This window comes from Homo sapiens, chromosome 1, assembly GCF_000001405.40.
Source record: "Homo sapiens chromosome 1, GRCh38.p14 Primary Assembly".
In the NCBI taxonomy this organism is placed as follows: domain Eukaryota; kingdom Metazoa; phylum Chordata; class Mammalia; order Primates; family Hominidae; genus Homo; species Homo sapiens.
Genome location: NC_000001.11, coordinates 184,698,088 through 184,713,671, shown reverse-complemented (window position 1 = coordinate 184,713,671; position 15,584 = coordinate 184,698,088). Strand labels below are relative to the sequence as shown.

General features: G+C 34.8%; 1 protein-coding gene across 5 annotated transcripts in view; it reads left to right on the top strand.

Annotated features, from left to right (window-relative positions):
- Positions 1 to 15,584, top strand: part of EDEM3 (ER degradation enhancing alpha-mannosidase like protein 3) — a 64,622-nt gene that overhangs the window by 41,187 nt on the left and 7,851 nt on the right. For 2 of the 5 annotated variants that reach the window (XM_011510012.2, XM_005245499.3), the window contains 6 exons: positions 1,074 to 1,239; positions 1,795 to 1,949; positions 3,122 to 3,278; positions 5,328 to 5,519; positions 6,864 to 7,029; positions 10,676 to 10,861. In XM_011510012.2, the coding sequence (XP_011508314.1) occupies positions 1,074 to 1,239; positions 1,795 to 1,949; positions 3,122 to 3,278; positions 5,328 to 5,519; positions 6,864 to 7,029; positions 10,676 to 10,861 (1,022 nt within the window). Of the gene's footprint in view, positions 1 to 1,073; positions 1,240 to 1,794; positions 1,950 to 3,121; positions 3,279 to 5,327; positions 5,520 to 6,844; positions 7,030 to 10,675; positions 10,862 to 12,127; positions 12,176 to 15,584 lie in introns of all 5 variants that reach the window. The other 3 variants (NR_135118.2, NM_001319960.2, NM_025191.4) reach the window with 3 other exon arrangements.

Below are 15,584 nucleotides of genomic sequence, written 5' to 3'. Positions count from 1 at the left end.
GCTGTTTAAACTTGCATTTAATTTAGTAAACATTTATTGAGTGCCTACTGTGTGCCAGGAATTGTGCTTGGCCAGAGGTATGAAATTGTGCAACTTGTCCAGTAAACTAGAAGTTGTTTATTACTGCCAAAACCTATGATGCTTTGGGGAGTAGTGAATTAAATTTGATGTTACTATGACTCCATCTACCAGCTATGCTTTTTTCCTGACACTTTTAATTTAAACTTTTCTTAAATTGTTAAAACATTATAACATTAAATCATTTGTAAAAACACATATAGTTTTACTGTCTTTATTTCTCCACATTCCCTTCTTAACAGGTAAATAAATATTTAGCATGTTATAATCATAGCCCGTGTGACTTTGCATTGTACTTTTTTCATGTAACTATTTTTTTCTTTTTTTGAGTCGGAGTCTTGCTCTGTCACCCAGGCTGGAGTGCAGTGACACTGCACTCGGCTCACTGCAATCTCCATCTCCTGGGTTCAAGTGATTCTCCTGCTGCAGCCTCCTGAGTAGCTGGTATTACAGGTGCCTGGCACGACACCCGGCTAATTTTTGTATTTTTAGTAGAGACGGGGTTTCACCATGTTGGCCAGGAAATTACATGCAAGTAATTTCTTTACATTTAAAGCCTTCTTTTTAAATCACTTAAATAGCTACATAATAAATTCCGTCAAATTTGTATGACTTTTTCCAGCTCTCTAATTTAATGGAAGATTCTTATATGATTCTCACTAGTAAAATTTATCAGTTACCTCCCTGCTGTTGATTCTCTATAGAAGAAATGGAGAACTTTCCCTCATTGAAAGGCCTATAGAAAAATCTTGTCTGCATTATTCACAAGATTCAGTGTATCAGTGTGGTAGACAACTCCTCTGGTCTTTTTCATTAACATAGAATATACTTGGAGTCAAGGTTATTCTGCCCCTGGTAGATTGATACATTCTATAGTTCTTTGAACATCTAAGTTGGTATAGACAGGATTATTAACCTTGACTCTATGGCTTTCATATAGTTGGCATTTAAATTATTTTTATCTACTTATATTTATTTGTGACTTTTTATTTTAGAATGGATTCTTTCTTCTTGGCTGAAATGTTTAAATATCTTTACCTGTTATTTGCTGATAAAGAAGACATTATTTTTGACATAGAAGATTACATCTTTACAACAGAAGCTCATCTGTTACCTCTTTGGCTCTCTACTACAAATCAAAGCATCTCTAAAAAGAACACAGTGAGTTTTTAAATGAAATGTCTTATTCTCTTTTTTATTTCTACATGTTTTATTTTTCCAAGTGAAAAGTAATCCATGAGTAGAATTCAATAAATATATGTATGGTAAGAATAAATATATACATTTTCCTATTTTTTTTCTTTTATTGCATCCTGTATACACTTATATATTTCATTAACTGTTTCCTTTTAAAAATTATGTTGAGTAGGCCAGGTGCGGTGGCTCATGCCTGTAGTCCCAGCACTCTGGGAGGCCCAGGTAGGTGGATCACAAGGTCAGGAGATTGAGACCATCCTGGCTAACATGGTGAAACCCCGTCTCTACTAAATATACAAAAAATTAGCTGGGCGTGGTAGTGGGCGCCTGTAGTCCCAGCTACTCGGAAGGCTGAGGCAGGAGAATGGCATGAACCCAGGAGATGGAGCTTACAGTGAGCAGAGATTACGCCACTGCACTGCAGCCTGGGCAACAGAGTGAGACTCCATTTCAAAAAAAAAAAAATTATGTTAAGTAAAATAATTATTTCTGTTTACATAAAATGTTTTTCTCTTGTAGACCTCGGAATATACAGAACTGGATGACAGTAACTTCGATTGGACTTGTCCAAATACTCAGATCCTCTTTCCTAATGACCCATTGTATGCTCAAAGTATTCGTGAGCCCTTGAAAAATGTGGTGGATAAGAGCTGTCCTAGAGGCATCATCAGAGTGTAAGATGTATTATTTTATATTTTCTAATATCAAAGTTGTTTCTTAGTAAATGACAGAGAACTTAGGGAGCATGTATCAACAGCCAAGAAGACATTCACATAGGCCGAAAATGTTGAGGTATGTAGCTATCACTGGTTAAAATAAAAATTAGTAGTAAAGTTAGATAGTAAAGCTTATTTTGCAGTAATATCTTTTTTATTATTTTGGAAACTTTCAATATATCTTTTATTTTATGAACTAAGGTAATAATAGTGGGCAGCATGTAACAGTTTTTAACTTCTATAACTCATTTTTCATGGAATAGTTTCATCGAATATTTTCTGGCCAGGCATGATAGCTCACGCCTGTAATCTGAGGACACTGGGAGGCCAAGGCAGGTGGATCACCTGAGGTCAGGAGTTCGAGACCAGCCTGGCCAATATAGTGAAACTCTGTCTGTACTAAAAATACAAAAAATTAGCCAGGCATGGTGGCAGGCACCTGTAATCCCAGCTACTCGGGAAGCTGAGGCAGTAGAATCGCTTGAACCCAGGAGGTGGAGGTTGCGGTGAGCCAAGATCACGCCATTGCACTCCAGTCTGGGTGACAAGAGCGAAACTCCATCTCAAAAAAAAAAAATTTCCTTTTGTCTATAGTTTCTGTGTAGTGAAAATACAGGTATTTTGTTTGTTTGTTTGGATTTGATTTTTTGAGGGAGTACTTATTCTTGCTTGTTAAAATTGGCTTAATGAGTTCATTTTCTGACGAGTAGTTATATTAGGCCATTGCAAGGACTTTTTAAAAATTATTTTTACATAAGTGTTATTATTCACTGATGCAAGTATTGATTTGCTTTTAAAATATTGGGAGAAAAATCTGTGTTTTTAAAGGATAACATCAATAGTAACAAATCCCCAAGCAAACTTGTTCTGTACCTTTAAATAGTTATAGTTCTCTTGACTAATACTGCCTTATATAGATAATATACAAACTTTTATAACTAGAAAATGTTATATTTGAAAGCTATACCACTTGTTAACCTAAATTATATGTAAGAAAATACTTTCTAGTTATTCCAGTTTCACTAGTTCTAAAACTAGCAATTTTGCAAGTAACATTATTTTTATTTGACATGTGTTTTTTGCCAATTCTAATTTATAGTTTTTTAAGCCTTGCCTGTAATTACTTTTAGCAGAGAGGAGAGTTTCAGGAGTGGAGCTAAACCCCCTCTGAGAGCCAGAGATTTCATGGCCACTAACCCTGAGCATTTAGAAATCCTGAAGAAGATGGGGGTGAGTTTGATTCACCTCAAAGATGGGAGAGTCCAGTTGGTCCAACATGCAATCCAAGTAAGACATTGCTACACTAATTAGATACCGTCTCTGCCCTGCTTTCTTTGGTCGCATTAGCTTTAATAAGATAATGGATTTCAACTTTCTAAACACTTTAAATATACTGTTTAAAGTGAGAGAATGAGAATTTTAGGACTTGGAAGTATCTTGGAAAGTCACCTAATTCAACTCCTTTATAGTATAAATCAATTAAATAAATCAGAGCTAGGTTGGGTAATTTGCTGAAGTTAATATAATCAAATGCAGGACTCAAATCTAAGTTTTCTGTTTCTCAGTCCATTGGCTTTCCCCTGTTACTTTTATTTACAACATAACTTCAAAAACTAGTAATTAGTTTTAATATTCATATCTCCATGTTTTACATCATTTTAGTCTCCAAAGAGCTACTGAATCTTAAGTATTTTGTTCATCATAGGTATTTATTTGTCTGTGCCTAGGAAAAATAACATGTCTTTTTGAGAAATTTTTATTGATTTTTACTTTGAAAGTTTTTATAACACAAAGTTTTTAAATTATTTACCTTATTAGTATATTGATTCTGAGAAAACCACATAGTTTGCTGAATAATTTTTAACCTAGAACCATATTCAGGTATCCTTTAATCTCAAATTCAACCCTCCCACAACTTCATCACACCCTCAAGTTTTCATCTCATCCATATTCTTGCCACATCCTTCCTTCTTTTAAGAGTATTCTTCCTTCTTCCTTGTATTTTATTTGGCCTCAGTGGGAGTGACATCTCTTGTGACATTGCTTTTACTTACTTAGGCTGCCAATGGCATAATTACTGCCAAGTGGCCTCTTGATCCTTATATGATTTAACTTTTCTGTAACTATTGGCTGAACCCTTCATAAAACATTTTCCCTTTTTGGCTTCCCAGGATATTTCAGAAACAAAGTTCTTTTTCTACTTCACTGTTTATTGCTTTGTAGCTCTCCTTGGCACAACCACTCAATGTAAACAGTTTCCAAGAATCTGGATGATATTCTTTTCTCTATATACTCTTCTTCAACAGTGTCACCTATTTCTACAAGCTTAGCTATCATTTTTATACATATGACTTCTTAGCTATGTATGTGAATCCTGATTCCTAAATTTACTATTAAATTCAACTTTCATCTACCTCTCATACATCTTGCATCTCAATCTCAATCTGTCCAAACTTGAATTATCTCTTTCTTGTTTACTCTCTTTCTACCCTCACCTCAACCTATGTTTCCTTCTTTGGCTCTCCATGTCAGTAAAACCTATCATCATTCTTTAAGTCATCAAAGCTGGAAATTTCAGGATAGGTTTGAACTCTTCTTCTCTTCCAGTTCCTCTTATCCTTTTCCATCCTCTAACTTCTATCATGTCTTGTTGGTTTTTCCTGTAAAGTATCAGGAATCATCTTATTTTTTTCTATTATAGTCATTCTTCAACTTTCCCTCTGTTAAGACTCAATTCAAGTGTCATTCTAAATCTTTCCCAGGTACACACAAGCAGAATCAATTGTTCCCTCATCTGTGCTCCTTTTCCACTTTCCCACTTGAGAAATTTTATCATAGCTAACTTTACATGTCTTTCTCCTCCAGACACAAATTTCTTAAAGGACTGTCTCTCCAATGCCTAGGCAAGTGCTGAGATGGAATAAGTGCTTCACAGATATGTTTTGAATCAAATTGAATCTGGTTGTTCACTATTTCAAGGAGGGAAAGTGTGGGTCAGGTATGAGGTTTATTTCTTCAGAGGGAAAGCCAGTGGGGAGAATAAGCAAAGTGAGCATTTGAGCATTCGCTAGAAGTCCAGTTCTCAATCTGAATCAAAAGTGGTTTATAGAATAGCGAAAGTGACATTGATAAAAAATACGGATAAGTTATTTTCAGAAATACTATTTCTGAAAGTATTATTTTTGAGTACAAATAAGGTCATAAATACTTGGTGGTGACCTAAAGTGAAAGAAGAAGTTGTAGAGTAGAATACTACAGTACAGTGTCTTTAGGAAATCAAAAAATTGGTGGAAGTTTCCAGAAAGGAAGGATAAAATGAATTTGTTTTTTTCATAGGCTGCTAGTTCAATCGACGCTGAAGATGGGTTGAGGTTCATGCAGGAGATGATTGAATTGTCAAGTCAGCAACAAAAAGAACAGCAGCTGCCTCCACGAGCTGTACAAATTGTTTCCCACCCATTTTTTGGCAGGGTAGTATTGACTGCTGGACCAGCTCAGTTTGGGCTGGATCTGTCTAAACATAAAGAGGTATGTATACTTAAAATATAGTTGTTGAAACTGAATTTAAAATATTAAGTATTGCCTTATTTCTTAGTCTCTTCTCTAATTTAGTAGTTTTAATTTATTTAAAAAACTGAAATAGTCAATCTCCTGGATTTAAGTAAAGTAAAAGCATGTCTTGAAAACTTTGAGTCATAATTTATGTATATAATATGCTTACAGAATTTTAACTAAAATATTATTCAGGTTCTATTCAATTTCTTGGTCTCTTCTCTAATTTAATACCTGTAATTGATCTAAAAATGGTTTTCAGACTTTCTAAGAGCCACTAGAACCTTTCTTTGAACAAAAGTCTAAACCAGGAGCTTAATGTAGAAAACAGCTAAAAGCACAGAAGCTCTGGCTCAAGTGACTGGAGAAAGCCTGGGACCCTGAGGTTCCACTGGGCAAACTTTGAAGATCATTTAGCTAGTCCATCCTCTATAGTTGTAACATAGTTATAACGTAGAAAACAAAGACTTACATAACTAAGCAATTCACAAAGTTATCTAACTAATTGATTGCAGAGCTGGGACCAGAGCCCAAGTATCGTGACAATCTAAAGCCAATGCTCTTTTCACTCTATTACTGCTAATTTAGACTTTTTTCTCATGTATATTTTAAACTATGTAGAAGCTATATAGATTGATTGATTCATTCAACTGTTGATTGAGTGCCTACTATATTCTGTGCACTGCTTGCTGTATCAGTTTACAAAACCAATGAAGATCCATGCCCTTATGGAATTTACATTTTAGTAGAGTGAAGGATATTAAAACATCTTTATAGTAACGTGTTTAAAAAAATTAGTTCCTTGGTGGATTTAATTTTTTTGGTAAAAAGAACTGCTTGCAGATTCATATAGACTAAGTCCATTTTTTCCCCTTTCAAAAACTTTTCTTGTTACCAATGATCATTTCAAATTAGTTCCCAGCTATTGTAAATGTAGTGAATCTGCCTGCAGGTCCCAACTTTACTGCTTAGTAACATCGTGTTAACATTGTGAGCAAATTACGTAACCTGAGTCTCAATTTCCCCATATGTGAAAGGGAAATGTTATTTGTATTGTTTTGCTCAGGGTCATTATAAATAACAGATTTTGTAGTTTATATAAAAATGTTCTATAAACTGCAAAGCACACTAGAAATATTGGTTGAGTACTGTGATATGCAAAATGTTTAAAACAATATTTTATGGTGACTATATGTTAGATACGTTATCATTAGAAAAGAAATGAGTTCTAGTTCTTTTAAAACTCTAGATATTGAGGTTTAATGACTTGATTGCCATTTGAGAAGATTAAAGTATTTAAGTTGCTTTTATTTCTGACAGACAAGAGGATTTGTTGCAAGCAGTAAACCATCCAATGGTTGTTCAGAGCTTACTAACCCAGAGGCAGTGATGGGAAAAATCGCACTGATACAAAGAGGACAGTGCATGTTTGCAGAAAAGGCACGCAACATCCAGAATGCTGGAGCCATTGGTGGCATTGTTATTGGTAAGTAATCATCCATGTCATTGTGTTGACTGAAGGGGAGATAATTTTTAGGATTTTTTCCCTTTTATTTTCTAAAATTTTATCAAAGAGTTTGTCATAGTTTTTTTTACCTCACCTAGACAACAAGGATAGGTAATCCAATGACTTTTAATTTCTAGATATCTAACATCTTTTTTAAAAGTCTAGATTTGAATTTCTGTATATTAATGTCAGTGAAAATACTTGGGTTTAGGTGTGAGGGTGAGGTAGGGCTGAGTAGTAAAAAAATTCAGTACCATGGATAAGAAAAGGTGCCCATGAGATCCATAACCCCCGAAGGGCAAGAATTACACTGTGCCACGTCCAGTGGGGAGCCATTGAAAATTTCCATTACTCCACAAAGATGCAGGCTTTGGAGGCAGACACATGAGAGTACAGTTCCTGGCTCTACCACAAAATTGCAGTGTAACCTTGGCCTAGCTTCAGTTTTTTAATCTGTAGATTAAATAGTATAATTTTTTTTTATTTGATAGTAGAATATTTTTGAGCTCCAGTGGAAGTGATAATAAATATATTTTAGGTGATTGTAAGGTTTAAAGATATATAAAATTTCTTGGCATAATAGCAGACATAGGATAAGTGCTACTATAACAGGGTTTACAGTATTGCTAGCAGATCTTTATCCCCTTGGATCTTTTTCTACCGAAATGACAAGTTACCACCTTTAAATCATCTTACCTATATGTATCAACTAGTGGGTTTTGCTTTTTTATCTTTCATAGACAATCACTTATATCATGATAAACAGGCCATGACTATTAGGGGAAATATAAATTTTTCTGTTTTAAAGTAAATAGGAGTTTACATTCAGAAAGAACTGTAAGACCTGGGCTCACAATATGCTGATTGTGAGTTCTTTTGTACAGCTTCTCTCACAGGGAAATCCATTTTGGATTCCCCCCTCCCCTGCCGCCCAATAGTTAAGGTAAATAAAAAAAAATAGTTCAGGTAAAACAGAATATTAACACTTATTATGTTGATTTAATGGATGCATAAATTTTATTAATAAACATTAGGAGAAGTCCTGTTTAATGACTTAAATCAGCAGTTGGCAAACTACAAGACTATAGGCCAAATCCAGCTCATTGCCCATTTTTGTAAATAAAAGTTTTATTGGGACACAGTCATGCCAATTTGTTTGTGTATGGTCTATGACTGCTTTGAACTGCAGTGATGGAGTTGAGTACTTACAGGAGAGAACTACAAAGCCTGAAATATTTATTCATCATCTAGCCAGTTACAGAAGAGATTTGCCGACCCCTGACTTAAATCATGCTCTTTATCCTTGGGTATTTCCCACACTTAGATTAGTTTTATTGCAGAATTTATTATATTAACCATCACTATCATTTTGAACAGTTCTTACCAAGACTTCAAAATGAAAATGTAAAGTATAAAGTGTAGAATTTATGCATTAATGTTTAAAAATATTTCTTTGTGTAGTATTTTGGTTTTTTATATTTTTCAGTGAAGTCTAATTCTCATGATCTTCTATAGTATGCAATAATTGTCAATTTTTGTTTTGTTTGTTTTGAGATGGTGTCTTGCTCTGTCACCCAGGTTGGAATGCAGTGGCGTGATCTTGGCTCACTGCAACCTCCATCTCTCAGGTTCAAGCAATTCTCCCTGCCTCAGTCTCCCGAGTAGCTGGGATTACAGGTGCCTGCCACCACGCCTGGCTAATTTTTATATATATTTTTTTCTTTTTAGTAGAGATGGGGTTTCTCCATGTTGGCCAGGCTGGTCTTGAACGCCTGACCTCAGGTGTTCTGCCTGCCTTGGCCTCCCACAGTGCTGGGATTACAGTCATGAGCCACCAAGCCTGGCCCGTCAAATGTTTTTTTTGGTAGCTATTAGTTGGAAAATGGTATACTGGGTTCTGTGGATAAATAAATAAGAGATGATGATCCTTACTCTCAGAAATTTTTTTTTTTTTTTTTTTTTTTTTTTTTTTGAGACAGAGTCTTGCTTTGTCACCCAGGCTAGAGTGCAGTGGCATGATCTTGGCTCACTACAACCTCCACCTCTAGGTTTAAGTAGGTCTTATGCCTCAGCCTCCTGAGTAGCTGGGATTACAGGCACGTGCCACCAAGCCTGGCTAATTTTTGTATTTTTAGTAGAGAAGGGGTTTCGCTGTGTTGGCCAAGTTGGTCTCAAACTCATGGCCTCAAGTGGTCTGCCTTGGCCTCCAAAAGTGCTGGGATTACAGCCATGAGCCACCGCACCCAGCCAAAAATTTAATTTTTAATGAGAAACTTTCTTGTGTTGACTTCTTTCTCCTGAGTTTTTTGTTTCTGACAAAGCATTTTGTTTTTGTTTTAATTGTATATAAATGAATAAATTAGGAATTAGCTGTTTTTTGTTGCAAGGGTTAGAAATACGAATTATCTTAGAAATCATGTGGCTGCAGGAGATAATTACGTTGGTTTAAGAAGGGAGGTTTTTTCACTACACAGAAATGGATTATTTTTAGTGAATTAAACAGTACAAATACAACTAGGATTCACCAGGAGGTAGAAGTGGGAACTAAAAATCACCAGGATCCATGATAGTGAATGTTTTTCACTTTTCTCTCTGTATCTCTACCTCTGGGTCCTTCTGAACTTTTCTTCCCTGCTTCTCTTTGCAATTCTGCTTCATTTTCCAGCTTCTCACCAGCCTTCTCTCTCTTTGTTCCTCAGTTCCAAAATGGCCATTCTAGTTTGCAGCCTCAGCCCCTAAGTCTGTGTCATTCAACTGGACTATTACCCCCTGCTAACTGAAACAGTCTTTCTGTGTGCCAGTTCCAGGTCCCCCAGAGAGACTCAGGGTCAGGTAGCCATCTTTTGTCTAATCAATTATTACCAAGAGGATGGGTCATGCATTCTGCACTTAGCAGGTCCTATGAGAGTGAGCACCCTGAGACAGGACAGATAGTTTCTTCTGGGAGACTGGCATGCGATTTGGAGGTGGTCGTGATTGTCGTCTTCAGTAAAACAGCATGTTGCTGGTACTACTACTATTAATAGTTCTACTACTATTATTTAACCAATGCAAAATAGCAATACTGTTTAGTTTAGCTTATAGAGGAAGAAGCACTATAGTCATAACTATTCTTTGTGTGCATTATATAAAAAAGAAATGTCCATTTTTAGTTTGGTAAAACAATGTAATCATGCCAGTAGTGGAAATTTTCAACAATAAAATTCATTCATAGTTCTATCACTGTAATCCGAGTCATTGATTTTTTCCTTTCTAGGCTTTTCCATAAGCATATGAAATTTTTATAGTCATAATCATAGAATTCTGTATTCTACTTTTTAAATGTATTATTATTCTGTGTGTCCTATCAAGTAGGTCATTATAATTTACTTATAATGGTGTACAGTTGTTTACAATTATAAATAGTCTAGTAAAATTATTTGGGCATAGGGCTTTTCGCTACTTTTGAATTATTTCCTTTGGATACGTTTCTATGAGAATTAATGGGTCCAAAAATTATGTTGGTTTTTATGGTTCTTGATGCATAAAATTAATTCTGTCATTGTAAAAAATCAGTAACAATTAGTAGATAGATCTTTTTAATGGCTGGATATTTTGATGTTTGCTGTATTTATTTTCTGGCTAGATGACAATGAGGGGAGCAGCAGTGATACTGCCCCTCTGTTCCAGATGGCAGGTGATGGAAAGGATACAGATGACATCAAGATCCCCATGCTGTTCTTATTCAGCAAAGAAGGAAGTATCATACTGGATGCCATCCGGGAATATGAGGAGGTAGAAGTGCTCCTCTCTGATAAAGCAAAAGATCGAGGTAAGAGTAAAATACCATTTGTTTTTTTATGCAGCGTAATATTAATTTTGCTAGTTTGATAACAAGAATGAGTCACAAAAAATTGTTTTGGGGGGTTCACTGTGAAAACAAGTAAAACTTTTAGAAGATGATTTCAAAATATATTTTTCTTTTGGAAATAAGAATAATAAAACATTTATTTTGCTTTGTTTTCTGAGTTAGGATGTTTTTAGACATATGTTTTTATGTGTGATTTGTAATTTTTGCCCTGAGTCTGTTCAGGTGATAAAAATACAAGAGACTGCTTCAGGAAAGCCATTTTAACATCCGGAAATGTTCACAATTTGATTTCACTGATACTACATCTTACATGTCTTTTATAAGGAATGAGAAGACATATATAGAATGTTGTATACAATATCATAGTAGTTAGTCTCAACAGGCCACCTATAATCAAATGACTGCTGTCTTGGTGAAGGCAATAGAAATCTAGCAGCTTCTTCCCAATGAGATCTAAGTTTATCACATGGATATAAGAGTTACAAATGGCTGTTTCTGAAAAACAAGATAGCATGTCTTAATTTATGAGAGTAGATAGTCCTCTGTAGGCCAAAATGTTTGTTAGTAATTTGAAATGTCTTTGAAACCCAAATTACAATATAAATGCAAGGCCTTACTAGTATTCTTACATAGTTTCACACCCAGGGATAGAGGAGAAATGAGGGAATGTGAGCCTTCAGATCTTGCTTGTGGTAGCAGTCTTTCCTGTCTGCTGGAGAGACCTGAAGAGAGAGCTAAAGTTCTCCCATACCCTTAAATAGATGAAGTTGCATAATAGTACAGGGTTGTTACATCCCCTGGGGTGTTTGACAGATATGTAGGAAACTGATTCAATTCAATGTGACTTCCAAGTGGGACATTTAAAAAAAAATGTTCGGTGATAATCATGCTAGCATAATCATGCTAGCCTAATTTTGTCTTCTTGTATTGCTTTATTCTTCTTTGAGATTCTTTGAAATGTCAATTATTTATGAGCAATGGAGTGAGCAAGTAGGTTGTTTGTATATAACAATGTATAGATGGAAACAGAACAGAATACAAAGGTTTTCTAGTCTTAAATCCTCTGTATACCTGATTTTTTTTTCCTGGGCCCTTTTCTAAACTCAGATCTTCTTGCCTACATATATGCATTTAGGCACATCTAACATAGGCAAATTATTATTTCTTGTAACTCTTTAATGCATTTGCTTTTTTTCCCCCTATTTTGTGCTACCACTGGAATTTCAGCAGCAATATTAAAAGGTAAAATGATTCCAAGCTACATTATTAATAGTAGTAAGTATCTTGCATTAACAAGCCTTAAATTATATACGTATATATGTATTTGGGTGTGTGTACACACACTCAAGTACATATATAATTTTGTTTCAGTGGATACCATGATAATATCTTGTGTAACGTAATTAGATTATTTTCATGTCTAGTCAGCAGTCACATAATAATTTTAAATTCTAATAATTATACATCCCATACAATAGATGAATTCTATGTCTATGTCCATACAAGAGTCACTCTAACAAAGGCATTGTTGTTTTAGTATTTATTACTTTGATCACATTTTATTTGAACACAATGTAAAATATTTAAAGTATTGACTTGTTTTAAAAGCTCATGTGTGTGTATGGTACATGGGTTAGGACTACAGGATTATGGTACAGCATGTGCTTCCTGTACCAGAGAAAGGTTATGAGACATGATTAATTCTACCAGAAAATAAGAATTCTTGGTGAACAGTATCCCCTTAAGGACCTTGCATTAAAAGGGCATTATTTAAAAGATATTTTTTGAAAACTTTAGTCTATAAATTTATTGAACTGTGATTGTTATAGAGTGATCTTTTGATAAAAGTATTGAAAAGCCCCCTTTTTGTGTAATAGCTCTTTATAGAACTGTACAGCTATATTAATTAGCAACAAGATACAGTCTAATTGTTAATATTTATTAATGTAACAGAAATCAATGGTAATAGTGTTATGAAATCAACAAATGTATTCACTTAGGATATCCTAAGAAGCTACACAGTCTGTAGCGGTTATCATTTGTCCTATACCATTACTACATACATCAGTGTTTCTCCCCTGCATCAGAATCAACAGATACACTTGTTAGAAGTGTTGGCTTCTGAGTCCTGCTCCAAATATTCAATCAGACTTTCTGATTCAGACTTTATGATTGGGAATCAGAATCTGAAACTTCAAACAAACATCCCGGGTGATTGTGTTGTAGCTGCTTCCTCAGCTACACTTTGAGAAATATTGAACAAGATTCAGAAAGCACCCCTTTTTTGTCTCCCAGCTATGTATCAGGCCATATTGTACCATTACAGGTACTAGTTAACAGATTATATAAGTACACTAAGTAACAACATCCTTAAAATCTGAACAATAAAATGTTCTCCAGATTGCCTTTTCTAGAAATGTCATTCCACAAATACGTATTTTTCCATATGAAGTCACACAATGCTGATTAAGAAGTCCTTTTCATATTTAATACAGAAAATAGAAGCCCTTAAAAAGCCTTCACTCCTGTCTTCTTCTTCTGATAAGTCCATGCCATTAGTATAGATGTATCTGAAACTGTTCTGCTAGCAGAAATTTTCTGGTCATCTTAATACACATTTAGAAGCCAAAAAGCATTAGCATTTTATCAAGTGATGTTGCTTCCTTAGGTCAAACCTGTGACACTTCTGAAAGTTAAGCTATCCACAGTCTATTGTTGAACAGAATTTTCAATATCATATCTCTCAGTGTTTCATTTTTCCAAAATTTCAGTTTGTAAAGGTACTTAATTATTCCAACCGTGTGCCCACAAACAAAAGGCAATGTTTTGTTACCTTTAGGTCCAAATTGAAGCAGTTTACAATTAAGAGTAAATTTCCTTTTTTCAATAGTATTTGTCACAGGGAAAAAAACATCAGCATTTTTAAGTTCCAATTCATTGTCATGCTTGCAGCTTAGAGTGTAAGCCTATAGTGCCTTAAGGGCTCTAGACAAATGCTTTCAAGCAACTGTATTTGTCTCTATCTGGTAAAGAGCCAGACAGAGAAAATGGAGGAAAGAAAAAAAAAGGTTCCATCATTTGCAATGCTCTGATTTAAGTCAGGCAGGGTCACTTTTCCTGATTATCCCCCACTGAATTTGATTGGTGTGAATCTGTTCTACAGCTGAACTGCACACCTTAAGTTGCTGTTGGAAAGGATTTGATTCCTAGGAGAAAAATCTAGTACATATGCAGATGAACTCTACCTGGAGAGAAACATCTGAAACATTCTTCTTAGCAGAATTGATACTTAACCTTCCCTTCTCCATCCAAGACATGTTTTCTCATGCATTTTCACATTTGCGCCATCTCTTCCCTTTTTCTGGAAGTTCCCTATCAATCCCTTTTCCTCTCCCATGGCCCTTTTCCTCTTTGAGAACATTTAGATATCCTAAATTTCAAATGCCACCTCCTAGGTAAAATTTAAGGGTGTCCTTTTAATACAGTTCTACTATGATAGTTAAATAGTTCTTTACCTGCTTCTCATCTCTATATTCCTTGCTTTCAGTAAACATTTAATGTACAGATGAATGAATGAATGAATGAATGAATGGTTCTAAAACATCCAATCTCTAAGTCTTTGCCAAGGTTCACTTCCTCTTTTATTATTAAAACATACTGATTTTGTTTCTCTGTATTTTGAGATTTTCTCCATTCTTTCTGTGTTTCTGATGTACCATTCCTGAATTTAATATTGTGGTTGTTATGCTCTTACGACTTTGATCTCACATACTGGTGAAAACAGGCACCTTAGGATCAAGATTTGTAGCAATGTGGCAGACTTTAACTCTTCTATCTTTTTGTAGTTCTCTAACTGCCATTTTTACTTTCCTGATTGTTGCTTTTATTTCTGGTTCTATAGCTCCTTCAGCTTGCGAAAACCAAAATATTTTCTTCCATGGGCATCTTCTTCAAAGTTCTTCTCTCTGTCTCTCTCTCTCTGTCTCTGTCTCTCTCTCTGCTTCTCTACATTTAAATTTAGTTGGCCCCTGGTGACTTTCCTATAGTGCTGCATAGAATAGTTATTGGTATCTTTTTAAAAACTTTATAAAATTAAACTTGTAACAAATTAAACAATCCAGAAGTGTATTAAAAACTTTTAAATAATCTCTCATCTTTCTGAGATAACCAACCAATGTTAGCAGTTTGATGTGTAATCTTTTATATTCTTCTTAGTGCTTTATACATTTCTAAATATATGTATCATTCAGTAACTTGCCTTTTACAGTTAAAGCTATATTAAAGACATTCCTCCAAGTTAGTAGGATAGCATAACTTATTCTTTTGAAAGCTGCATTATGTTTTGCATTATCACTGTACCATAATTTATTTAACCATGTCACTATTAGGCGTCCAAATTATTTCCAGGTTTTTGTTTTGCCACTGTATACAATGGTGTAGGTAACATTCTCGTACATATCTTCTTAGATATGCATACTTTTTCTAGAATATTGAGATTTACTAAAATGAAATGCTGGCAGAAAGTATATGGGTCGTTTTCATTTTAATGGATGTTGCAAGTTGCATTCCAAAAAAGGTTGTAGCAATTCACATCCTTTCCAGCAAGATATGAGAGTACATGTTTCTTCCTATTTTAGTCAGCATATTTCCCTTTATAGGTATATTTTTTGTTTTTTCTCTTTAT